The sequence below is a fragment of the Homo sapiens genome, chromosome 4 (assembly GCF_000001405.40).
Source record: "Homo sapiens chromosome 4, GRCh38.p14 Primary Assembly".
Taxonomy (NCBI): domain Eukaryota; kingdom Metazoa; phylum Chordata; class Mammalia; order Primates; family Hominidae; genus Homo; species Homo sapiens.
Window position 1 is genome coordinate 87,820,517 of NC_000004.12, and position 26,276 is coordinate 87,846,792.

General features: G+C 38.8%; 1 protein-coding gene across 6 annotated transcripts; it reads left to right on the forward strand.

Moving 5' to 3' along the window:
• MEPE (matrix extracellular phosphoglycoprotein) lies at nucleotides 882-26,276 on the forward strand. Of its 6 annotated transcripts, NM_001184697.2 has the most exons (6): nucleotides 12,453-12,498; nucleotides 14,187-14,252; nucleotides 18,116-18,169; nucleotides 19,169-19,261; nucleotides 19,411-19,516; nucleotides 24,461-26,276. In NM_001184697.2, the coding sequence occupies exon 6, from the start codon at nucleotides 24,692-24,694 to the stop codon at nucleotides 25,928-25,930; it is 1,239 nt and encodes a 412-aa protein (NP_001171626.1). In that variant the 5' UTR covers nucleotides 12,453-12,498; nucleotides 14,187-14,252; nucleotides 18,116-18,169; nucleotides 19,169-19,261; nucleotides 19,411-19,516; nucleotides 24,461-24,691; the 3' UTR covers nucleotides 25,931-26,276. The 6 variants fall into 6 exon arrangements, with proteins under 6 accessions (NP_001171623.1, NP_001171626.1, NP_001278112.1 ...); NM_001291183.2 differs by lacking the exon at nucleotides 19,411-19,516; NM_001184696.2 differs by lacking the exon at nucleotides 19,169-19,261 and having other exon boundaries at nucleotides 19,411-19,538.

Consider the following 26,276-nt stretch of genomic DNA (forward strand, 5'->3'; position numbering starts at 1 on the left):
GTTGGCCAGGCTGTTCTCAAACTCCTGACTTCAGGTGATCCACCAGCCTCAGCCTCCCAAAGTGCTAGGATTACAGGTGTGAGCTACTATGCCTGGCTCAATTTTTCCTAACTTTTTATTTTGAAAAATGTCAGGCCTTCAGAAAGGGAAGACTAGAGCGCCTATTAGACCTTTCACGTAGATTCACTCATTGTTAATATTTTGCCATATTTATGTTTTTTGGGGGTTTTTTTGAGACGGAGTCTCACTCTTGTTGCCAGGCTGGAGTGCAGTGGTGCAGTCTTGGCTCACTGCAAGCTCCGCCTCCTGGGTTCAAGCAATTCTCCTACTTCAGCCTCCCAAGTAGCTAGGATTACAGGCATGTGCCACCACGCCCGGCTAATTTTTGTATTTTTAGTAGAGATGGGGTTTCACCATGTTGGCCAGGCTGGTCTTGAACTCCTGACCTCGTGATCTGCCTGCCTCGGCCTCACAAAGTGCTGGGATTACAGGCATGAGCCACTGTGCCTAGTGCCATATTTATGTTCTTATTTCTGTGTGCCTCTTTATATATATACTTACCTATTAGACTGAGCCCCCATTGCCCACATGGCCATCTGCTTATTGTTAGCTTTCCTCCTCTCCTGCCTCCCTGCCCCACTCTCTAGCGTAGGCTTGCTGAGGTCACTTACCAAGTTAACTAGAGGCACTCAGACCCATGTCTCAGTGTCTGCTTTTGAGAAAGCCTAACCTCAGGTGCTATTTCGTAATTATCCAGTTTTAAAGCTGAAATCCAAGAATTTTTTCTTTTTTTTCCCCAAGAGAAGATGCCATTTTCATCACAACATGTTTACATACTCAAGGTAGGAACTTCAACACTTTGCTCCTTCTGACCATACCCATTTACATAAACAAATGCAGTGCTCCCCTGGCCTGCCGGCAGCTATCCACACCAGAAAGAGGAAAAGGTAGACTGGTAAGACTCAGGCTTTCAAGTTATTTCAAAACCAATAGCAAAGTAAGACCTGAGGTACATATAGTTTGAATTTAGTCTTTTGAATGCCTTTTAAGAGAGTTTTGAAATCAGATTAAGACAAGCAAGTGGGCAAAACATGTATGTGTGCTGTTTTTGGTCATTGTTGCTGCTTTGTGGAAATGAAAAGAAAATCCTGAATGATACTTGTTATTTATCCTAATGTGGCCACCTAGCCTCGTGATGACAGTACCATCTGGCTCCTAGTGAAAGGGACCCTGAGGCCCCGTAAGCCTGCAAGGGTGCTCCATACAAATAGAAGCAGGGGCAACCAGATTTCATAGTCCCGTAAGGATGGCCCAAGAAGAGAAGTTAAAGACCCCTGAGCACCATAAAGCTGCAGGGGAGCCCTCATTCACACAGACAGCAGCTGGGCACCATAATCCCAGCGTGCACACCTCATATATGCAGCACAAGACCACTTACGAAAGCAACCACAAATGGCCAACACAGCCCTTACCTGATGCCTAACCAACTAGCCCACACAGTGCCTGCCAAACCAACACCCAGCACTGTCTTTCTCCAATGTAGGACAAAGACTGTGAGTCTTGGCTTTAAAAAAAAATGTCTCACCCGACTTTCCCGCCAAGTCTTACCTCCCAAAGTCTATCCTCTCTTGGTTGAAATGGATTTCCTTCTTGGCAGTAGAACTTCCACTCAACACTCAGTGCTTAGTCTCAGAGTCTTTTGATTGGCGTATTATTTCATATTTTTAAGCTAGTGGGAAGCCCAATCACCTGACTCATCATGCTTTCCAGGATAACCCATCTAGTTTTGAGTAACTTGGATAATTGGGGTGGGTTTTGTAATCTCCACTTCTACCCAAGTGCAGACTCCCAGGACTTTCCCACTCACAACCCGTCAAGCAATTAAGTGGTCCCCGGGCAGCAGTGTGGTTGGTAACTGGGTTACGAAGCTCCTGAATGCAGCTGCTAGGTTCACACACCACACTTCCACAGATTCAGCCAGTAGGGGGACCATGAAGTCAAATACAGTCAGACATTTTATTACATACACAAAAAACATAAGCATCACCTGTATGGTGTCAGCTCCCTGCATCTCTAATTCCATAGAATGACACTGAACAGAGAGGCCAGATGACAGATGGCACAGGTGGTAGGTCGTTCTGCTACTGAGGAGTCAGCTCTACCCCTTAGCCAAATAGGTATACTCACAAAGAAGTCTGCAGTTGAACCCTAAGGGAGCAAGGTCAAAAGTCCTGTGCTCAACTGAAACTAAAGAGACGAATGAGAAATGGCCTTGTGGTCATCTTCCACAAGGTAGGGAGGTGGGTGGGAACTGCCCATGGCATCTCTTCACCAGCTTGCTTATCCTTTCCTGCTGCAGGAGGAATTGCAGGGTACTTTGCCAAGACTCAGGTTGTACTGCAGTCAATTCTGGTCCCATATGTAATCCATAAAGACATGGTTGGTATGGAGTTGTGCAAGGTTGTCAGGAAGTTGCAGCAGAGCAGCTCCCCTGAATACCTCTTCCAGATCTCAAAGTTTGGGAAGCATTGAGTGTCCTGGACGTTTCAGAAGGAGGCTGGCCACATAGGAGTGTGGACTGGCTAAAAAAAGCTTTTGACGCATCAAAGAGGGTGACTCTTACAAGATAATTCATGGTAGACATGCAGGACCTCGCCAGGCAGTGGTGTGCTCAATGGCTGCTCACCCACTGTGTGGGTGGATGGTCTGTAGGTATCAGCGTGGCCACAGTGTAACTGCTTCTCAAAGATGACTCTGCCCTTTTCCCAGGATCACCCTGTATTTTGTCCTCTCATTTCAAGTCCTTCTTACCTCCTTCAACACGATGACTCAATCAATATCCTCTGCAGCTGGTAGCAGACAGGATAGCAGAGGGGACCCATCTTTAATCTGTGAGGCTCACTAAATATCCCTCTCCTTTTCAGTTTATTATTGTGACATAAATTCTATGCCCTGCATCCTTCATAGTTGGCCATGTTGATTTTCTACCACGCTTTCTTTAACCAAAAAGGTAAAACAAACAATACTTTTGCAAAACTAAAGCTTTAGCTTTCAAAATGATTGTTTCTGATGCGGGCTTCAAGAGTCTATTTCAGCAGTAAGAAAACAAATGTTGACTTTCTTTTCATTTGGATCCTTTCTGTCAAAAACTCCAATCCTTCTCCAGGCAAAGTGGATCTCTTTGAATGATGAGGAGAACAAATAGTGGAAGTGTGAGAAAGGCAGAAAAGCATACACACTTTTTTCCTTTTCTTTTGAAAAGGAAAATCTAAAGTAAAGAAACATGAATCTCGGGTTAAAAAAAAGAATCAACATCAATTGAAAGTAAACCATGAAGCAATGACTTGGACATTTTGTTTATCCATGTACAGTGTAGCAAATATTTTCTGCCCTAGCTCTTTAAAATACTTAGTGGGTTAGAAACTCATTAACTTGATTTGTTGGTTGAAGAATAAAGGTTCTCATGCAAATTACATTCTGTTACATCCTGGTCTTTCTCAGGAGGCTTCTCCCTTGTATCTCATGGTTCCCAGGGTCCAGGAAGATAAGACCACCATTAATATGTACAGAATTCATCTTATCTCTTTTTAAAATATAAATTCTGCCCTCACTATTTTAATAAGGGGTCAGCAAGCTTTCACTAAAAAGCAAAAGTCAGCAAACTTCTTTTTTAAAAGACCAGATAGAAAGTATTCTTGGCTTTGCAGAATTTGTGCTGTCGATTTTACAGAACTAACCTACAGCTAGAACCAAGATCAAGCTTCCCCTCAGCTGGCTAAGTGGTGAGACATACCTGATCATTCTTGTTACAGAATTCTGAAAGACAGTATAGTGAAAAAGTTACCTTTAAATATTATTTATCAAAGATAATACTTCTTGCTGTGCCTAGGTCCTGGAACTGTCAGAAACATCAAATAGCTGCAGAGGGTGGATTGCTTTGCAGGCTATATGGTTTCTGTCACAATTACTCAACTCTGACACTGTAGTGAAAGCAGCCATAGACAATTCGTAAACAAATGAACATGACTGTGTTCCAATAAAACTTTATCTGCCAAAACAGGTGATGAGTCAGATTTGGCCCACAGGCCATAGTTCACTGATCCCCTTTTAGATGATTGTATAAACTATGATCATTTTGAAAATGTTGTTGTCATTAATCACTTAAGAGATAAATTGTATCTTTTTCTCTTTTCTTTGTGTTTTTTTTGTTTGTTTGTTTTCAATTTGAAGCTTTGTCCTTTGCTTCAAACTTTGTTTAAAAACTCAGGAACATTTCTGATGTTTGATAGAGCAACCTGAGGATTTTCTCCTTTCTGCAGCTACATATTTATGTATTAGTTTTATTTTTTGAGACAGGGTCTTGCTCTGTCACCCAGGCTGGAGTGCAGTGGTGCAATCACAGCTCACTGCAGGCTCGACCTCCCAGGCTCAGGTGATCCTCCTGCCTCAGCGGCCCCAAGAGCTGGGACTACAGGTGTGCACCACCACACCAGGGTAATTTTTGTATTTTCTAGTAGACAAGGTTTTGCCATGCTGCTGAGGCTAGTCTCCATCTCTGGCTCAAGCAATCCACCCTCTGCAGCTATTTGATGAGATGTTTCTGACAGTTCCAGGACCTAGGCACAGCAAGAAGTATTATCTTTGATAAATAATATTTAAAGGTAACTTTTTCACTATACTGTCTTTCAAAATTCTGTAACAAGAATGATCAGGTATGTCTCACCTCTTAGCCAGCTGAGGGGAAGCTTGATCTTGGTTCTAGCTGTAGGTTAGTTCTGTAAAATCAACAGCACAACCATTACTCCTGCTACATAAAATGGGCCATGATCAAATCCAGTACACCAAACATTCTGAGAATAACTGTCAGTGAATGCCCAATACCTGAATTACACCCGGGGTATGTCTTAGGCACACTGTATTCTCCAAAAATGACTGAAACGTTATCTCCCATTCCTCAAGCTATTCTGCAATGTGAGGCTGCCACTTCTCCATCAAGGTGTGAGGCCTATTTCTGCACCCGCTTCAATCTGACAGTTTTGACGAACAAGTGGAGAGTAACTGTGCAACAGTCCCAGGCTTAGGCCATAAAACTAGCCTGTCAATCTCTGCTTTCAATTTGCATGGAAACTTTTATTCTTAGACCAACAAATCCAGTTAATTAATTTTTAACCGACTATCTTTTTTTCTTCAACTTTTAAGGTCTGTACATGCGCAGGATGTGCGGGTTTGTTAACGCAGGTAAATGTGTGTCATGGTGATTTACTGCACAGTACCTCCTATCGCCTAGGTATCAAGCCCAGCATGCATTAGCTATTATTCCTGATACCCCACCTCCAACAGGCCCCAGTGTGTGTTTTTCCCCTCCCTGTGTCCATGTGTTCTCATTATTCAACTCCCACTTATAAGTGAGAACGTGCAGTATTTGGTTTTCTGTTCCTGCATTGGTTTGCTGGGGATAATGGCTTCTGGCTCCATCGATGTCCCTGCAGAGGACATGATCTCATTCTTTTTTATGGCTGCATAGTATTCCATGGTGTACACATGCCACATTTTCTTTATCCAGTATATCATTGATGGGCATTTATATCATTTTCTTTATCCAGTATATCATTGATGCACATTCATGTCTTTGCTATTGTGAATAGTGCTGCAATAAACATACATGTGCATGTTTCTTTATAATAGAATGCTTTATATTCTTTATATTCTTTTTTTTTTTTTGAGACAGAGTCTTACGCTGTCATCAGGCAGGGGTGCAGTGCCATGATTTCCACTCACTACAACCTCTGCCTCCCGGGTTCAAGGGATTCTCCTGCCTTAGCCTCCCAAGTAGCTAGGACTGCAGGTGCACACCACCACAACAGTTTTTTTTTTTGTTTTTGTTTTTTGTTTTTGTTTTTTTTTGCTAGAGATGGGGTTTCAACATGTTGGCCAGGATGGTCTCGATCTCTTGACCTCGTGATCTGCTACATTCCTTTGGATATATACCCAGTAATGGGATTGCTGGGTCAAGTGGTATTTCTGCCTCTAGGTCTTTGAGGAATTGCCACACTGTCTTCCACAATGGTTAACTAATTTATACTCCCACCAACAGTGTAAAAGCATTCCTTTTTATCTGCAGCCTCACCAACATCTGTTGTTTTTTTGACTTTTTAATAATAGTAATTGTGACGTGTGAGATGGTATCTCATTGTGGTTTTGATTTGCATTTCTGTAATGATCAGTGGGGATGTTGAGCTTTTTTTCACGTATTTGCTGGCCACATGTATGTCTTCTTTTCTAAAGTGTCTAATTATGTTCTTTCCCCACTTTTTAATGGGGCTGTTGGTTTTTGTTTTTTTCTTGTAAATTTGTTTAAGTTTCTTATAGACTCTGGATATTAGACCTTTGTCAGATGGATAGATTGCAAACATTTTTTCCCATTCTGTGGGTTGTCTATTCACTCGGATGATAGATTCTTTTGCTGTGCAGAAGCTCTTTAGTTTAATTAGATCCCATTTCTGACTGAGCATTTTAAATCCTGAGCTACCATATAGGAAGTCCAGCCTATTCTGCAGGACAGAGTGATCATGTGGAGAAGCACTGTGGCATATCGGATGTGCAGCTCAGTCAAGTTTTGGGATGACTCTTGCACCCCATCTCTGACTGTGCCATTTGAGAAATCACAAGTGAGAATCATGCAGCTGAGCCAAGTCAACACACAGAACCTTGAGAGAAAACAGTGAATTTGTATTTCAAACTACGAAAAGTTTTAAGGTGGTATGTTTATAGCAACAGATAACTGGAACAGGAACTGACAAGCATAGAGAAAATCTGGGTTGGTGAGAATTAAGGAATTCATGAAAAAAGAGATAAAATAAAATGATAACACAATGCAGATAAACATGGAATTAAAAATAAGCTAAGACGATATACACCCTAATTTGGTAAGAAAATATTAATACATGTTCGATACAATGAATAGCTAGCTGGTAAAAGTCCTCAAGTTCTGTATCCTGAGAAGAAGATTCTTGGTCTTGAAAAACAAAACAGCAACCTCTGAAAAAGACTATTATGAGGGTAAGAGATATTTTCCTCTTGAGGTCACACAACAAAGTTTTGCAGCCACTTCCAGCAATGTCACCATGTCCTGAAGGAAAGGGCTAGCATCATTATAATTATATTTTAACTACATCCTCTGAGTTACATTTTAAGGTGGAGTAAGACATCTCTCTAATATAAAAATAAAAGCAAATTATATTGACATGTCTTCTCTTTGCTTGTAATAGAGGAATGGGTAAACAAAAAGCCCAGAGGAATGAACACAGCTAACTTCATGCTCTGCTGTGACCCTCCATGATTCTGCATCTGGCTGAAATTTTTATGGCTTCTGTTGAAATTCCCAAATGCTGACAGAAAAAATAATAACTAAAAATAAAATTAATTTGAGGGTAAAGGAGAAAGTTGGTTGTAAGTGATGCTTTAGAAAAGGTGACCTTTTTGAGCTTAGGATGATTATTGATACTCATGAATGAACACGTTTAAAATGAAAACATTCCTTCTGCTAAAAACAGGGCAAGACTCCCAGCACACTCATTCTGGACTCTTATTTTGGATATCAGTGGGAAGTAAATACTTCTATGAAATGCCTAAAGCCTTGACCAATCTAAGCATCTGTATGGTAAAGAAGAGATTACTCAACATGGACCCCTCTGTTCTATTCACAACACTTCAAAGACTTCCCCACTGATCCAGGAGGGGAAATACTGTATATTTGTAATGTATGTAAATTAGAAGATAGAGAGTTATTTTGGCAAGTTAGAACATACAGAAAAGTATATTGTATATGTAAAACAGAAACTTATTTTAGTTAGAACATATGGAAAAGTGTATTGTGTGAGTCTGTCTAAAATGATGACAGAGAAATGTGTTACCTTAATAGAGTCAAGAATAAATTGGGGACCATGATAGCAGGGGAAAAAGGACTTCCTAGAATACTAAGTTTAAAAAAAAATGTATACCAAAGCAATTAATCCCAGAGCACAAGTACAGAAAAGATGGGTCCTAGAAATAGATGAGAAAATAAAACAAACAAACAAAAAAGCCTTATTCCTGGGTGAGAGTCTAATAGCTGGAACTGATAGTATAGGTTCCTAGTTAGCTAGCATTTTATATGATTGTTCACACTCAAGTGATCGATAAGAAATGAAAAACCCACGACAGGATGAAGCATGTTCCATGGAGTACTTCCTTCCAGATTCTCTTTGAGGAGCAACTCTGTGTGTCAGTCTGACCCAGCAAAGTCAGGCTAGGTGCATCATTGGTGGAGGTGTCCATTTTTGAACCAGGAACGAGGAACCAGAAAAAAGTTCAAGTGTCCATTTCTTTCCCTTCTCAGTTGTTTCCCATTTTTCTTTGTTTTGTTTTGTTTTCCAGTTAAATAGAGATGGTGTGAAGATACATATTTTTTTTACAGACTCCTGGTTTTAACTTCAGTTATTGGTTCCTTAGAAATGCCATGGCAAAACTCTCTATTATACAATAACCTTTAGGAAACTTATATTGAGTTTTTGAAGTTCAATTTCAACACAGAGGGCAAGTTTTAAGAGGGTAGAAGTAAAAATCTCTACTGCATGGAACTTAGGCAAAGGATCATTCTCCTAATTTTTTTTCCCCAGAATTTCTTCTCTGCAACCTTCTAGCCAGAATAGGCTCTCATTTTTTTTTGCTTTTGTCAATTGTAGGTTCTAAATTTAAAACTCAAGTTGAATTTTTTTATGTAGCTTTGAATTCATTTTAGCTTTGAGAGCAGTATATTTAGCTACTGCCAGTTCACCCCTTGGTAGGACTAGTAGCTAAGCCAGTTTTTTTCTCTTAAAACTCTATAAATTTTCTTATCCTAGAACACAGGTTTTTCTAGATCATAATTAATTTTCCATCACTCAAATGAAAGGGAAATCTTTTTCATGCACACTGAAATTTATTTGAAACTAAGAAAAATGCATTTGAGGAATATCTGAAATTATTTATAAAATTATAGCAATAAAAAAATGAACATTTCCTAAGGCACATATCAAGTGTTTGCTCTATAACTGGATCATTCAAAATATAAAGTTAATGTTATGAAACAGTGTAACAGCTTAAAACACTGCATTATATACACATTATTATAGAAATTCCTGAATTATTTATTGCTTCAATAGCATATCCAAAGTTGAAAATGAGCATTTTTTGTGGATTTCACTTGTCTTCCATTTAGAAAGCTCTATATTTCCATTCAGTCTCAGAGTTGGCTGAACACTCTTTGTTGCCTTCTTTCCTTCCTTGACTTCCATTCCCTTGTTAGCTCCTTTCTATATCACCCAAATCCTTTTTTTTTTTTTTTTTGGACTTTGCTGAAATTCTGGTCATGGATACTGTGCTCCTTATTTTCAGTTGGAGAAACTGAGGCACAGAAAAGTTCAAATTAGTTGTTTAATCAACTTGCCACAGTAAACAGGTGGTAGAGTCAGGATTTGAACTCAAGTCTGTTTGCCTCCAAAGCTACTAGAGTTCTAGAGTTCAATATTTCCACTGTCAATGACAATATTCAAATATTCTAAAATCTATGCTTGAATGGTTGTAAGTCAACAGTGGCCCCACCCAATAGCTCAAACCTAGTCCTGGAAGATGTTCTTAAAAGCAGTTCTGTAAAAGCAGAACTACTGTTTGATCCAGTAATCCCATTACTGGGTATATACCCGGAGGAATATAACACATTCTTCCATAAAGACACATGCACACGGCTGTTCATTGCAGCCCTGTTCACAATGGGAAAGACATGGAATCAACTTAAATGCCTATCAGTGACAGACTGGATAAAGAAAATGTGGTATGTATACACCATGGAATATTATGCAGCTATAAAAATGAAAGAGATCATGTCCTTTGTGGGAACATGGCTGGAGCTGGAGGCCATTATCTTCAGCAAACTAACGCAGGAACAGAAAACCAAATACCACATGTTCTCACTTATAAGTGGGAGCTAAATGATAAGAACTTATGAACACAAAGAAGGAAACAACAGACATTGGGGTCTACTTGAGGGTGAAGGGTGGGAAGAAGGAGAGGAACAGAAAAGATAACTATTGGGTACTGAGCTTAATACCTGGGTGATGTAGTAATATGTACAACAAACCCCAGGGACATGTGTTTATCTATGTAATGAACCTTCACATGTACCTCCAAACCTAAATAAAAATTTTTTTAACAAGAAGACATGAGGTGAGGGAGAGGAGGAAAAGCAGCTCTGGATACTCAAAAGAGGAACAGCAGAATTTAGATATGATAAAAAAAAAAAAAGAGAGAGTTAGCTTGACCTAGAAAAGGCACCATTTTCTCAGGTAGAACTTATGAAATACTGTTTTGTTTGTGTTTTATGTTTTGGTTTTTGTCTATTTGGAGGGTTGAGATAAATTGACAGTTTACACTTAAATCTTATTATATATCATTTGTATATATAATATACAACTGTTAAAGGTGTGTTTCACTGTAGGTAGTTCTTATCACAAAGTATAGGTTAAATAACTCTTACATAATTTCTTATTGATGCTTTAATATATAGTCATAATGTCAATGACCTTTACAGGTATTATAATATTTTTATATTAAGTGGAACCTCTCAAACTATTACAATTATTTTGGTAGCCAGTTTGGGCAAAACAAGAGAGCAGGCAATCGCACTGGAAAGGCTTATTCTAGTATAGGTTTGTTACTTGTTTCATTAAGAAATTGAGTGTCTTAAATTGTCCATCTTATAAAATTTGTCTAAATCCAAACTCACAATATTTTCCTCAAAACCATTTTCTTCTGCATTTTTTCCAATATGAAGAAAAAATCAACTTTACTCTTCCAGTTGCTCAGGTCAAAACCTTGGTGTCATCCTGATTCTTGATTGTTTTCTCACAGGCCACATCTGGTACCTCAGCAAATCCTATTACCATTTTTCCCCAAACTTCTTCAGAATATGACCACGTCTCATCATCCCTTCTGCCGCACTCAGGTTCAAGCCTCCATCATCTCTGGCTGGGATTATTACAAGAGCTTCCTAGCCATTCTCTCTGCCTTTTTCCTACTTCAGTCACTCCTCAATCATGCCTGTGCTTAAAACCTCCAAGGACTTTTCTTCTCACTCATAGCAATGTCAAAAGCATTGCAATGACCTACAGGTCCTATACCATCTGCCATCTAATACCCTTCTGACCTCATTTGTTGCTATTCCCCTTGCTCAGGCCTCCAACCAAAGTGGCCTCTTCTCTGTTCCTGGAACAAGTCACAAGGCTTTTATTTCTGGGGCACTATTTTTCTTATTTCTTCTTCCTGGAATGGTCTTCCCATAGACAGTCATATGGCTGCAGGCTTATCTGAGTCTGTTCATGCTGCTACTACAGAATACCACAGACTGGGTAATTTATAAAAAACAGAAATTTATTTCACACAGTTCTGGAGGCTGGGAATTCCGCAATGAAGAGGCCAGCATGTTCATTGCCTGACGAGGGCTGTCTATCTCTTCTTCCAATTTGGCACCTTGCTACTGCATCTCCAGAGGGGACAAATGCTGTGTCTTCACACTGCAGACAAGCAGAAGGGCAAAAAGGGACTAGCTAGTTTCTTCTTGCCCTTTTATAAGGTCATTAATCCCATTCATACTGGGGTCTGCCTTCATGACTTAATCACCTTCTAAAGAGCCCATCTCTCAATACTGTCACCTTGGGTTTAAGTTCTAACATGGGAATTTTGGAGGGACACGTACATTGAAACCATAACAAGGTCTTTACTCAAAAGTTGCCTTCTCATTGAGGCCTTCCCAGGACTTCCTATCTAAAATTTCAACCCAGTGTCCCCACCCCCAATGCTTGTTACTCCCCAACAATACTTTTTCTCCTTAGACTTAGTATATGTCACTATCTAATCTATTTAACTCATTTATCTTGTTTATTATCTGTCTCCCTTATTGGATTCTAAGCTCCAGGAAGACAGGGATTTTTTTCTGTCTTGTTTTGTTCACTGCAGTTTCGCCAATGCCTGTCACACAGTAGGCACCTAAAACATTTTTGTTAAATGTTGCTGAATTTCACTTAGATAAAATTGACATCATAAACTTTCTACATAAAAGGATAGCAAAAATGTTTTCCATTTCTAAACTTGTTAGGTATTCAGTCAGTCCTAATTAGCAGTTCTGAAATCAATTTTGATTATCTGACAACATGATGTCCAAACTGAGGTATTTATATTTTCTGTTTATCCCACTTTCTGGAACATTTGATAGTAGCTTTCTACCACAAACACATTTTTAGATTAAAATTACTTCACCCCCTATGGTTATCTGTGGGCGCTTGTAACAAATTGTTTGCTAGCGCTGAGTGAGCCAGTGCTGATTGGCCATTGGGAACTCTAACAAACTTTAAATTTCAGCAAAATGCCCAGAGACTTCTAATCCTGCAACAAGAAGCCAGGTATTCTGAAGGTGAAAGATACCAGGTAATTTGGCTTTCATGTTCTTGACAGCAAATAGCTTTATATCATAGTTGTTTACGTTTTTAAGATGCTTGCCACCCAAGTATGGTTTTATTACTTTTGAAAATCTTCTCTACTGAGCAAAACTGTGTAATATTTGGTGCTTTGTTTTATAAAATAGGAAATGCGTTACCATGCTCTAGAAATCATCAACTAAAATTGATGATTTGATAGCAACTTTCTCTTTTTTTTTGTTATTAGCATTATCAAGATCCACAGTAACTCAGACTTCAGTTTTCTTCTATCCCTTCACTTAACAAACTGCAATCAGGAAAATCTGATCTTATTCATACTTTGAAACCTCATCTGTGTTGATATTTCTACTGATGAGCATTAACTCATTTCATAAGTTACTTACGTTGTCCTGATCTATAAAATGCTTGGAAGGGTAAACTATAGTTAGAATTTAGATCCTTCTAATTGCATTAATTTAGAAAAACATAGCCTAGGATTTTAGAATATATTTAATAGTTACAATCATTTCTCCAAATACCAGCTTTTCCTTGAGGTGTTTAAAGATTGCAAGAATATTTAGATTATTTTTTCCCATAAAAACAAGTTTTTCTTCAAGAAATCTCAGAGTGGCATAAATTTATTGTTTTCACAATATAATAATAAGATCAATAGTCCAAAGACATGTTGACTTTTTTCCAATCTAATGGCTACTTAAGTGAGCTCACTAGTTCCTGTTGGTATATTTACCAAAATATAAACAAATACCTTTATTTGTAACTAAATGTTAGTATTTTGAACATCATTTTGTTGAGCCCAATATAAAATATGATTTGCCTTTAAGTCAACTGTACATGGATTTTTCTGTAATAAGATAAAAGAATAGAAAGTTATTTAAGGTGGCAGAGAGTCTTGATGAAGAAAACTGGGTCTAGAGCCACATTGCCTGGATACTAATCCCAGTTCTGCCCCTTAATATTTGTGAATTCTAAAGCAAGTTATTTGATCTTTTTGTGTCTATTTCCTAATCTATACAACAGGCATAGTAACGCCGCCTAACTTGTAGGGTTGTTGTGAGGCTCAAATAATTGAATGCATGCAAAATTCTTAGACCCAGTGCTTGGCTCATTTTAGTATTCAATAAATGTTAGCCATTAATGTCAGTGTTGCAAAAATTAGTTCACTCTCCAGCCCATGGATGGCTACTAATTCAGACACATTGCTAATGAACATGAGACACAGATTAGGGCACCAGCCCGGAGGCAGATAAGCTTTCCTCACAGTGCAATCTGCTACCCTGACAAACTTAGAGTGTGTTATGAGCTGCTACATCAACTTAATGTCATTTTGAATTACACAAATAATTAAACAATCTCTTTCTAAAGACAAGAGGAAGAAGAGCTGATGATAGAGCAAATAAATGTGTCTATAAAATATATTTCTATCAACTGACTTTACTGTTTTAATGATATTGAATAATTTTCATTTTCACATTGGAATAACTAGACATATGAAAGTTCTTAAAATGTCCACACTCGGGTATAAGCAAGTTATACATAGTCTATACACACACATACACAAAAGGATATGAACTGCCAAGGGGAAGGGTGTTTATATATTCCTATGTGTTTTATCTCTTCTTATGGCTGCAGTTTATAACTGGCAATGCTTTGTGGTAAGATATTGTTGTCTTTTTACAGAGATTCTCAAAGATGCGAGTTTTCTGTGTGGGACTACTCCTTTTCAGTGTGACCTGGGCAGCACCAGTAAGTATTTACAAATTCAATTATATTTCAGATAATCTCTTGCTCTCTTCATTTGTTTTTCTTTCAAGCAACGTCTATTTAAATTAGTAGCATCTACCTAATTCAGTTATTTTAAAAAGAACCAAGCAAACAGAAAGCATCTAGCACTTAACACTCTTAACAAAGGAGGTTCTCAATAAACATGTGCTGAATTATGAGATCTGACAACATTGTCTTTTAAGGAACACCAAAAACAGATTTTTTGAGAAAACCAAGAGGCAGCCGCAGCATTTCAAATCAGCTGATACTAATGAGTGATACTCAAAGACTCAAATTATAACATGGTAAAATAATCTTTGACTATTTTCCTGTAAACTTAAAGAATTTGACATGAATGTTTTAAAGCTAACCAGCTAGATTTAGTAAATAGATAAAAATGCAAAGAGACAAGAACTCTTCTGTATTTCTTGCAACACCCCAATACTGTGGGATCCTACTTGTGATTTTCTCTTCATCAGCGAGGCTAGAGGTGGGACGTAGTACCTCCAAGCTTAACCCAAATCAAGCTCCTACTTCCTTGTGTGTCTTTTCTTCCCTCTGACTCACCCAGTTGAATATTCAGGATGTGACCAAATTATCTTGTGAAAATGCTGAGTGTTAGTTATTTTCTGCAATGCAGACACAGTGCTAATTAGATAATGTCTGAGCAGCATCCTAACTTATCAGAATAACCTTTTTGGTTGGAGAACCATGGAAACAAATAGTCATCCCATTGCCAATCATACTTATATATAGGTCCTGAGTGAGTGGGTGACTGCTAGGGTAACCAGGCTGATGAGGATGACCAGGGAAGCAGAGGGCCTCATGGAGGGCAGTGGAAGTTGGGGAAATGTGTTCCCTTCTCCGCACACACTCTGTGCAACAAGGGTGTGCAGTACAGTACTGTGGAGGCTGTACTGCTCACAACACACATTTGCGAGACCCCATGCACAGACCTCACTCAATCAAGGCCTAGAGGCTCAGGTGCCTCTCCCACCTCTCACGGTGGAAAAATGAGTCTTGCTGACCTAGCTCAAGTTGGCCAGCTGAAGATTTTATTTTGAGCAACATGTTCCAAGAAGCAGCTGGAGTGGGGCTTTCTCATCATTTTCCAGTAAATGTGCTATGTCAACATTGATTCAGTGACCACTGATCAGAAGAGGATGCCAGCTTTCCTGCCCAGAGGCAGACAATGCCATCTCCATTACAGGGCCACATTCAAGCCTAAGACATCTGCTTGGGGGTATAGAGGGGACAAGGGAGGGATGCGTATTTCAAATGAAAGCAGCTCAGCAAGGATGCAGAGGCAACATTTGTAACTGTGAATCATTAAATATGATGTTTTCTTCCAGGTATATAGATGCCATTTTAGTAATTACCTGAATTTTTAAATGATAGATTGGTGGCTTAAGAAATTAGTATATACTCAGCCACTTGCATACGTCTTAGAATTATAAGCCAAATTCTAAATGATTTTTAAAAGGAAGAAAATGAATGTTTATTAGGCTATGCAATTCGGTTAATATTCATCAAGATGCAGTTAGACTAGAAAGACTTTGTTATAAGTCACAATAAATCAAAACTGTACCGAGGTACTCTATATTGTCAAGTATGTTTCTAATCCATATGTGTGTGTGTGTGTGTGTTCTGTAAGAAGATCCCTGACACCCCATACTATCATTTCTTTCTTTTGCTTAATATCTGCCCATCTCATTTTTATGCTTTCTTCTTCCTATAGTCCAATTTCCAGAACTGTTTGCCCTGGTTTTATATTTTTGAAGAGTGATATAATTGTCCAAATTTATATTCACATGATCATATAAGAATCAACATAAGAAATGCAATAAAGGATAAAACTATAAAAGATGCCTTGACGATAATTAATATAAAGTTTAGGAACATTTCCTCTTATTACTAAATGCTTTTTCATATTTAATCATTCAAAAATTTATTATTTTAACCCTGGGACTTTGAGGCAGAAGATTTAAATTAAAATATCTTCTCTACTTCTACTGCAACTACCAACTATGAGTGTAGGCACTTCTGTTTCTTCTACTGCTCATCTTATAAAGGTTACTTTGGGACTCATATGAGATTATAAGTACAAAAGCAGTTTACAAACTATAAAGAGTCCTATAAATAGAAGGTGTTATTGATAAACTATTGTTATTTTCTAGAATGGAATTGAATATTAGGCAGCTATGCCTTGGAGTCCAGCCATGGAGGTGCTTTCTAAACTTCTGAGTTTTATATTTTGAAGATGATTTTATCTGCCAGAGTCCAGTCCAGAAAACAAAATCCACTACAGGGAGCTCAGTAGAGCGACTTTCTAAGGGAAGCTAGCTATAAAGTATAAGGAAGAACAGAAAAGCCAACCAGGGGTGGTGAGACCACCCAAGGATCGAAGCTATTACCAGGCTTAGGGCTGGAAGGAAAAAAAAAGGTGCTGCTCCTAGGCCCCTGGCTGGGGGAACTAGGACCACAAAGGAGATGTACCCAACTCTAGAGATGCAGCCCCAAACACGGAGAGTAGAGAAGGACATACCCTGGCTTCTCTCTCCTTCCCCCCCTCCAGACTCATGCCAGGCCTCCTTCACCCAAACCCAGTCTGAACACAGAGGGCAAATGAGCTTGGGAAATGAAGGAATCAGTTCAGATTGAGCTGGAGATACAAAGGAGCTGAGAGCAAGCAGGGGCATTCCCAATATCTTAGTGCAAGCAACAACCTGTCTGTATTAAACAAAATATAGAAGCTTAAGGCTTCTTCAGGAAGAACACTTTCCAGGTAAATAGGACAGCTGGCCTAGGCGGCCCTCTTTCTGTTTATCTCTTTATTCAATCTTTCCCTTAAGGGGTTCTCTCTTTTATATGATTGATCCACCATGATGCCTGCTTCCACTGTAGCACACCCATTCAAACACGGCCCAGTCCGCCCATTGGTTCCCAGTGCCACATCTGAGATAGGCTAGGAGTTTCTGAAAGAAAGAGGTAAATGAAAAATACTGAGAATTAAAGAACTTACATCTATTCCTTTAATAAAACAGTTGCTCTCAGATTTTAGGGTCCCTGTTCTGTGTGCTTTCCTGTGGTATGCAAACTTCAGCCCAAAGGACTGGGACAAACTGCCGAGGTCTGTTCTTTCTTCATTTCTGCCCTTTCTGCGCTTCAATAGCTACCCCTCACCCTACGCTACCCTCAAGAAATTTTGACACTTTATGTCAAACCAAGAAACAGAATTTATCCTAATCTGCTGGCCACCTCCATTTTTCCTTCTCAGAATGTAACATCTGGCAGCAATAAGTTTTTGTCCTTAATTGCGATCCTACCATTCACATGAACGGCTATGGTTTGACTCTCCCTGGGCCATCAGCAGCATCATATCTTAATTCAATATTACAGTTACTCAACTTATATAATTAATGCACACACACAATTTAAATCGTCAAACTCTGATTTTAGTTCACTTATATTTAACAACTCCCAGTTTGCCAGTGAAAACTTCTTTTTCAGTGGATTCTGATGGCAGCCAAGCTCCTTCGTCTGGGGTGCCATCCCTCCCTACTCCCCCACCACACCCACTTAGCGGTTGTCTGAGCTTGAATCCAGTTCTGTAGTGGAGACGGCACTGTCTCCCTCTGGGGGCAGAAAGCTGGCACTGTCTTTCGTAATATTGAAACAAATATTATATTAATGCGATGAGTGTGTCAATCTTCTTTTGGTTAGAATGATTTTCCACAGTGAATAATACAACTCAGTGAGAGAAAAATAAATGAAACATTTGTTTGAAGAAGTTAATGAAATAGAATGTTCTAGTGGGTGAAGTTTTGTTTCTTGTTTCCTTTCAGACATTTCAACCACAGACTGAGAAAACTAAGCAAAGCTGTGTGGAAGAGCAGAGGGTAAACAGAATTCATCTTTTCAAATAACTCTATTTCAGCTCTATAAAGAAAAAGTCAGTAAGAGAAAAGTGTAACTGTCAAAATAGTCTTGGGCACTTTGAATGGAAGTGAAAAAATATACAACATAATGTTGGCACTTTCTAGTCAATCAGGTATTGTAACTCACACACCATGTGTGACAGAAAAGAGGAAAACATTGTGAATAGAGATTTATTTCTCCCCAGTATGATTTCTTCCTTCAAATGAAACAATGCTTTGCCAGGCAACCTTCATGGGGCTAAGTGAGTAAGAATTTGGGAACATTGCTACTAGCAAACAATATTTTCCCACACATGTACCTGACAAACACTTTGCTCTCAGAATGATAAATAAGGGAGTAAAGGGGAAGGTGGCTATCAGATCTGAATGGGGAATTCTATGTCCGTGGAGTCAGCTTTCCATATGCATCCAGTTAAATGAATCCTCCCCGCTTTGCATGCCACCAAATTGCAGCTTGCTTCTGCCTATCACAGAAAATTATGTTCTAAGAACTAACAATCTTCTGTACTTCATCTCAGCTGAAAATTACAAAGGCCAACGTTGCCAGCTTAAGAGCCTGAATGTTCATGCTGTGAGTTTTGCCAATTAGACATCAGACATGAATATTGTAAATCCTGTCTTTCTCCTGGTCCTCTCACCCCCTCCCACCTGAAAATATTTCCACATGCTCCATTTCCATAGACGTTTGGTAATAAAATCGATCCACCCTAGGACAGAAAGCAGTTGACAGGCCCTTAGGGAAAACAGATTTAGAGTTATGTAGAAAAGAGAAGGAACAAGTTGCTGTCTTCGGGAGCCGGCTGACACACACCCTCCTGTGGTTATAAGAAGTACTACCATTTGTCAGAGGTAGAATTCAACTTCACCCAACTTTTAAAGTTTCTTATATTATTACAAAGAGCCCAAAAACTTCTTTGTAAGAGATAAAACGTGCCTCAATATAATGTTGTGTTTTTGTAGATAACATACAAGGGTCACTATGAGAAACATGGGCATTATGTTTTTAAGTGTGTTTACATGTCACCTGAGAAGAAAAATCAAACTGATGTAAAGGTAAGCTGAATCTCTGAATGACCATTCTCAGCATGACTAAACTCTGGACTAGCCCTAGAGGAAAATGTAGGGGAGGCAAAGTTTACTTTTGCTTGCTCTGGGGTTTCTGTCTTATGGCTGGCACTTTTGTCCCTTCCCTCCCTCCCCAGGCTCCTCAAGCCTCTCTACTACAAAACTCTGGGTCCCAGAATCTTCCTGATCCCCATCCCATGCCTCGGCCCACATCTCGCTCTGCTTCAGGACCTGTGGCTGCAGGTGTGATACTCATGGACCTCAGGTGCCCATGGACTGCTGTGTTACTGCTTCTGAGTAACATTTGGTGTTTTATAAGAAAGTTTTCTTGACATATTCTACCATATGCTCTGATGGTGGGGATCTCAGCAGGGGACGGCTAAGAGGAAAAACCATTTTGGCCTAATGAGTGACACATTTTACTGTCTCTTAAATTCATTCTATGGATAACTCCATCTGTGTTGGGTTGCTCAGAAGTAAAAGAATGAGGCCCTTGTCACTACAATGACAATAATTCTTTTCACTCAGTCCCTTCTTGTAGATTCATCGGCCAAAGGGCTGGAAATAGCTTGAAATGCCATCAGCAAAAGGGCTATTTACTTTTTCCAAATCTGGTTTTATTTCCCATGGAAGTAATAGTTTCCCTTCAGAATGTTATTTTCTTCTGCCATCGATATCCTTTAGATGACATCTCTAAGACTACACCTAACTATAAATAAGTTAAAACATATCCATTTGCCAAATATATGTGGAGTTCTTAACTGGTGTGTAAGATACTATGTGAGATAAAATGATGGAGAAAACAAATTCTTTCTCTCCAGGATCTTAGAGTTAGAAAAGAAACAAAAGGCACTTACAAAAATTATTGTAAAACAAGACAGAATGTGGGAGGTGCTATGTGAGTAGTACCGAGAAGAAAAAAAAGATCATGCTTTAAGGGCTTGGAGTAGAAAGAAATTAGTTCCTGGCCTCTGGTGTTCATAATGGAAATAATTGTGTGGGGCCATGGAGGATGAGTAGGATTTGAGCAAACAGAAGTGAATGGGTGAGGCCGTTCTCCATGAAAAAACTCATAGGAACCAAAGCATGGAGACAGAAAAGCAGAGCACAGAAAAGCAGCCAGCCAACTGGTACATAAACCATCGAACAGTCAGAAATCATTTAACACAAGCAAATGTAAGAAAAGTTTTTTTCTATTTTTTGATATTTTCTTCAATGCAAAGATAGCCATCATATACCACAGGATAAAAGTTGTTTCATGTTTTCATTTATAAAATTATTCTACTCAGTCTTCTAATAAAATGCACACAATTCATTAGTGTACATGTTACTTTTTTAAAAGCAGAGAAGCACCGAAAATAAAACATAACTTCCCACTTCAGACAAGGGAGAGAAAAAATTAGGAAGAGATTATTATAATCTACTGAGTTTAGATTTAGTGTTTAACTCAAAAGGTTATCTTAGTAATGAGTAAACAAACAACAATGAACTTGATTGCAAAGGAAAACATAAATGTCCAAGTAAAACTTTCCAGGACTCAATTACTCAAGTCAAATATTTAAAATACTTTTTATTTAGTGATATACTACAAAGTTTATTTCTATTTTTTTCTTATGGCAAAATCGTATTTCAGAATATACCCACCAATATTAAAAAATTAATGAACAATAATGCCATAACTTTTACAAATAAGTAATTTCAAATTATATTTTACAAATATTATACATTGGCACTTTTGCAGACCATATATTAGCTAGCTTCTTAAAAGTAGAGGGCACTTCTAAAAGCCATTTTTATTTTAGATTCAAATGTGAGCTGATTCAACATTTCCGCCTACTTCCAACAGTTAATAAGATACATATATAAAAGCAGACAGTCCTCCAAGCAGAACAGTACTTCTGTTTGGGAGTGAAAAAAAAGAGAGAGTCCAATCAAAATCTATTTCAGATAACATCCCATCGACGGCTACAAGCTTACAGAACACACAGCCCGAGGATGACACTTGGGCAATTCAAGAGCAGGGGGGTCCAGAGTTTGTCCATCTTCATCTGCCTCTACAACCAATATTAGAGAAGTCCAGAGACTGGGAAAACCGTTGTGTATCCAGTAATTACATGACTATCATTAATATTATCTAGGAAAGAAACTATCATTCATTAAAGGGCTATGCCCAGTTCTGTATGCTTTACATGCATTATTTAATAAAAATCATTTAATTCTCCCCAAAATACTGAAAGGTAGATATCATTTTTATTTTACAGCTAAAAAAGCTAAGGCTCAGAGAAGTAAAATAATGCTCCCAAGATCACACAGCCCATAAACGGCAGTGAGACAACTGATTCTAATGCATGTGTTCTTTCCATAGCACAGCTACTCTCGTGAGTACTGGACTGAGGGATTAAGAAAAACTATTTGGCAATTCCTGCCTACTGTTTCACTCAACATATTCCCTATGATCCTGGCTTCCCTGCGTTTGGTTTTTCTATTTTCTTTGCTACCTTCCCTACACACTTGACCAAATACTATGAGCTTCTGGCTGCATGCTCTTTTTCTCTCCATCAGGGAGCTCTCGTGTATTCTGACATCTTTAATGAACACATCTAAGATGTCCACATGCTTGACAAGAGCCAACAAATTGAAGTGGTTGTCAAAAAGCACAAAATTAAGTTGTATTAGTAAAAATAGGGCTGTGGTCAAGGCAAGGAAGTGGATGGATGCCCCGTGCTTGGGGTCGATCAGGCCACATCAGAGTCAAGGTCTGATTTGGAACCCCACAAACAAAAGGGAATTCATAATCAGGTGATGGGTCTGAACATAGTCACCTAACACAAGAGAACTGTAGTGTCAACCTGGAGAAGAGAAAGCAGCCAGCGAGTTCGAAGGAACACTAAACTTTTTCAAATGTTGGGAGGGTTTCATAGGAAAGAGGAAATAACCTTATTAGGTGTTGCATCAGGAAAAATGGATACTAGTTTCAGGTTAAAAATTATTGAAAATATTACAACTATGTATAAGTGAAACAATAGGATCTGAAAAGTAATAAACAATTAGCATGTAAGATGTTCAAGGAAAGAAGAGTTGACCATGGGCTATGAAAACTGGGAAGGACTTGTACTGGGACACACTAAGAGCCTGTGATACCCAATTCTCTATCTCTAACTGTATATTGCTTTCTGAGCTCAGGTTCTATATTCCCTTAACATCAATATGTCTAACATTAAAGCCCTTGTCTTTTTCACCCTATCTTCATTTTTACATGTTAACATTCCAGTCCATTTTAGTTATTAAGGCTTTTTGCTTGGGCACCAGAAGAAGGGGTTTTTTTCTTTGTAATGTTTTTCTTTGGCGTAATCCTAATCCAAGTGATTACATCTCATTACTGGATACTGCAAAAGCCTCCTACATGTTCTTTCTTACCACTGTTCCTCCTAAATCCTTAATTTTTATTTTGTTAATCTCCTGTGAACTTTCACTAGCTCTTCATACTCTACAAAATAAAACCAAATTCTTCACCCTGGCATTCCATCTTCTACAAGTCTCCGGCACTCTGTTTGTCTGTGCAGACCTAATTGGATATGATGTCTCTGCCTCACAGACCTTCCCCCACCCTCCATACCCCTCAGGATCACTGCCTTTGCCAATAAATATCACCAGATATTGCTTAGAACATGCAGCACCCACCCTAATTTCTTCCATGTTCCAATCTCTCAATAAATATCTCCTATGTTGATTTCATATTACTCATCAATTCAAAGGCCTATGTAGGGATGTTGTATATTCCAGCTCATCCTACAATTTGGGGGTGAAAAGAAAAAATGACATTTAGTCTGTCTATAATTGTTCTGTTGCTCAAGAGCTCCTCATGGAGGGGCAAGGGAATGTGCAGAAATTAAATTCAATCTGTTTAAACTTAAGGTTATCTAATAGCTAAAATAGTTATTTAAATAAATCAGTCTCTTTTAGTTAAAAATGCTCAGATCCTCACTCCCCCTCCTTCTCCCTCTAATATGGCATCCAGGTGTGGCTTACACCGTCCACTACATACCATGCACCAAATGGACAAACATGGCTTACACCATAGTGAAGAGGAAGACTTGGAATCTTCAGACATGCATGGGATAATGTTGCCTAACCACTTGAATGCTTCTTGCCCTGCTTCATTCTAAAATGAAGTTGTCGGCTACCATAGCTTAGGATTCACTTAGTATAGTCTTGACTAGGGCCATAGTGACTCAGCCTCTCTTAGCTCCCATGGGCAATTTAGACTTCTCCCTGTTTGAGTATGACTCACATTTGTCCCTAGTATGTACTCCATCTACACTGCTCCTTTTAGAGCCACTTCACTTCCTCTATGGCAACACTCTCTGGAAACCTCCAGACCAGATGCTCAGACACTTCTATATTTAGTCTATGCTACAGAGAAATAGCGAGTGGCATACGGTATAGTCAATCTCAGCTCTTTCTTCCTGACCACATTGTTCTGCCAAGCTTACTGAAAGTTGGCTGCACCCAAGAGTGATAAAACCCAGGATATGAAGCAGCATATTTACAGATCCTGCCCCTTCCCCCACCAAAATAAAAGAATGAATTCAAATATAGATATAAATACTTTACTCTCCTCCTCTGCTTTCTCTTTTTCATCCCATTATTCTCCCAGGGACTTTTAAATGTCAGAAGATTCTTCTATTTGCAGATTTTCTGTTTAAAAAGAAGCAAGAAAGAAAGGAAAGAAAAAGAAAATACTCCTTTAGGCAGATGAATACCTCTGATGATCAGAATGAAGGGAGAAAAGAGAAAGAGAGAGAGAGAGAGAGAGAACTAATTTTAATATATGAAATCCATTTTACTTGCAATGACTCACTATTCCCACTATGTAGGTTTATTCATATTATGTCTCAATTGTGTCCTGTTTCCAAACAATTGAATATGCCGCTTATTCTTAAAATATTCTCACAATTTCCCTTCTGCATATTTGAATAGTACCCATTTTTCAAGCCTAGTTCATTCTTCTTTCTCCATGAAACCTGATTTGACCATTCTAGAATGACCTCTACCAGTAAACCTCTATTGAGTTAATAGATCCTTTTTATTAAATATCTGGTGGATGGTTTTTATATTGCCTAAGAATTATTATATTTTAAAAATTTTACATAAAATAATCACTTCATATTGAAAATTGTATTTTAGCAGGAAGAAAAAAACAAAGACAATATTGGTTTTCACCATTTGGGCAAGAGAATAAATCAAGAGCTATCATCTAAAGAAAATATTGTCCAGGAAAGAAAGAAAGATTTGTCCCTTTCTGAAGCCAGTGAGAATAAGGGAAGTAGTAAATCTCAAAATTATTTCACAAATAGACAGAGACTGAATAAAGAATATAGTATCAGTAACAAAGAGAATACTCACAATGGCCTGAGGATGTCAATTTATCCTAAGTCAACTGGGAATAAAGGGTTTGAGGATGGAGATGATGCTATCAGCAAACTACATGACCAAGAAGAATATGGCGCAGCTCTCATCAGAAATAACATGCAACATATAATGGGGCCAGTGACTGCGATTAAACTCCTGGGGGAAGAAAACAAAGAGAACACACCTAGGAATGTTCTAAACATAATCCCAGCAAGTATGAATTATGCTAAAGCACACTCGAAGGATAAAAAGAAGCCTCAAAGAGATTCCCAAGCCCAGAAAAGTCCAGTAAAAAGCAAAAGCACCCATCGTATTCAACACAACATTGACTACCTAAAACATCTCTCAAAAGTCAAAAAAATCCCCAGTGATTTTGAAGGCAGCGGTTATACAGATCTTCAAGAGAGAGGGGACAATGATATATCTCCTTTCAGTGGGGACGGCCAACCTTTTAAGGACATTCCTGGTAAAGGAGAAGCTACTGGTCCTGACCTAGAAGGCAAAGATATTCAAACAGGGTTTGCAGGCCCAAGTGAAGCTGAGAGTACTCATCTTGACACAAAAAAGCCAGGTTATAATGAGATCCCAGAGAGAGAAGAAAATGGTGGAAATACCATTGGAACTAGGGATGAAACTGCGAAAGAGGCAGATGCTGTTGATGTCAGCCTTGTAGAGGGCAGCAACGATATCATGGGTAGTACCAATTTTAAGGAGCTCCCTGGAAGAGAAGGAAACAGAGTGGATGCTGGCAGCCAAAATGCTCACCAAGGGAAGGTTGAGTTTCATTACCCTCCTGCACCCTCAAAAGAGAAAAGAAAAGAAGGCAGTAGTGATGCAGCTGAAAGTACCAACTATAATGAAATTCCTAAAAATGGCAAAGGCAGTACCAGAAAGGGTGTAGATCATTCTAATAGGAACCAAGCAACCTTAAATGAAAAACAAAGGTTTCCTAGTAAGGGCAAAAGTCAGGGCCTGCCCATTCCTTCTCGTGGTCTTGATAATGAAATCAAAAACGAAATGGATTCCTTTAATGGCCCCAGTCATGAGAATATAATAACACATGGCAGAAAATATCATTATGTACCCCACAGACAAAATAATTCTACACGGAATAAGGGTATGCCACAAGGGAAAGGCTCCTGGGGTAGACAACCCCATTCCAACAGGAGGTTTAGTTCCCGTAGAAGGGATGACAGTAGTGAGTCATCTGACAGTGGCAGTTCAAGTGAGAGCGATGGTGACTAGTCCACCAGGAGTTCCCAGCGGGGTGACAGTCTGAAGACCTCGTCACCTGTGAGTTGATGTAGAGGAGAGCCACCTGACAGCTGACCAGGTGAAGAGAGGATAGAGTGAAGAACTGAGTGAGCCAAGAATCCTGGTCTCCTTGGGGGAATTTTTGCTATCTTAATAGTCACAGTATAAAATTCTATTAAAGGCTATAATGTTTTTAAGCAAAAAAAAATCATTACAGATCTATGAAATAGGTAACATTTGAGTAGGTGTCATTTAAAAATAGTTGGTGAATGTCACAAATGCCTTCTATGTTGTTTGCTCTGTAGACATGAAAATAAACAATATCTCTCGATGATAA

Coding starts and splice junctions, on each gene's coding strand:
- MEPE (NM_001291183.2), top strand. CDS start 14,199: ATGCGAGTTTTCTGTGTGGGACTACTCCTTTTCAGTGTGACCTGGGCA. Junction 18,170..19,168: donor GCTGTGTGGAAGAGCAGAGG/GTAAACAGAATT, acceptor GTGTTTTTGTAG/ATAACATACAAGGGTCACTA. Junction 19,262..24,460: donor AAAATCAAACTGATGTAAAG/GTAAGCTGAATC, acceptor ATTGTATTTTAG/CAGGAAGAAAAAAACAAAGA.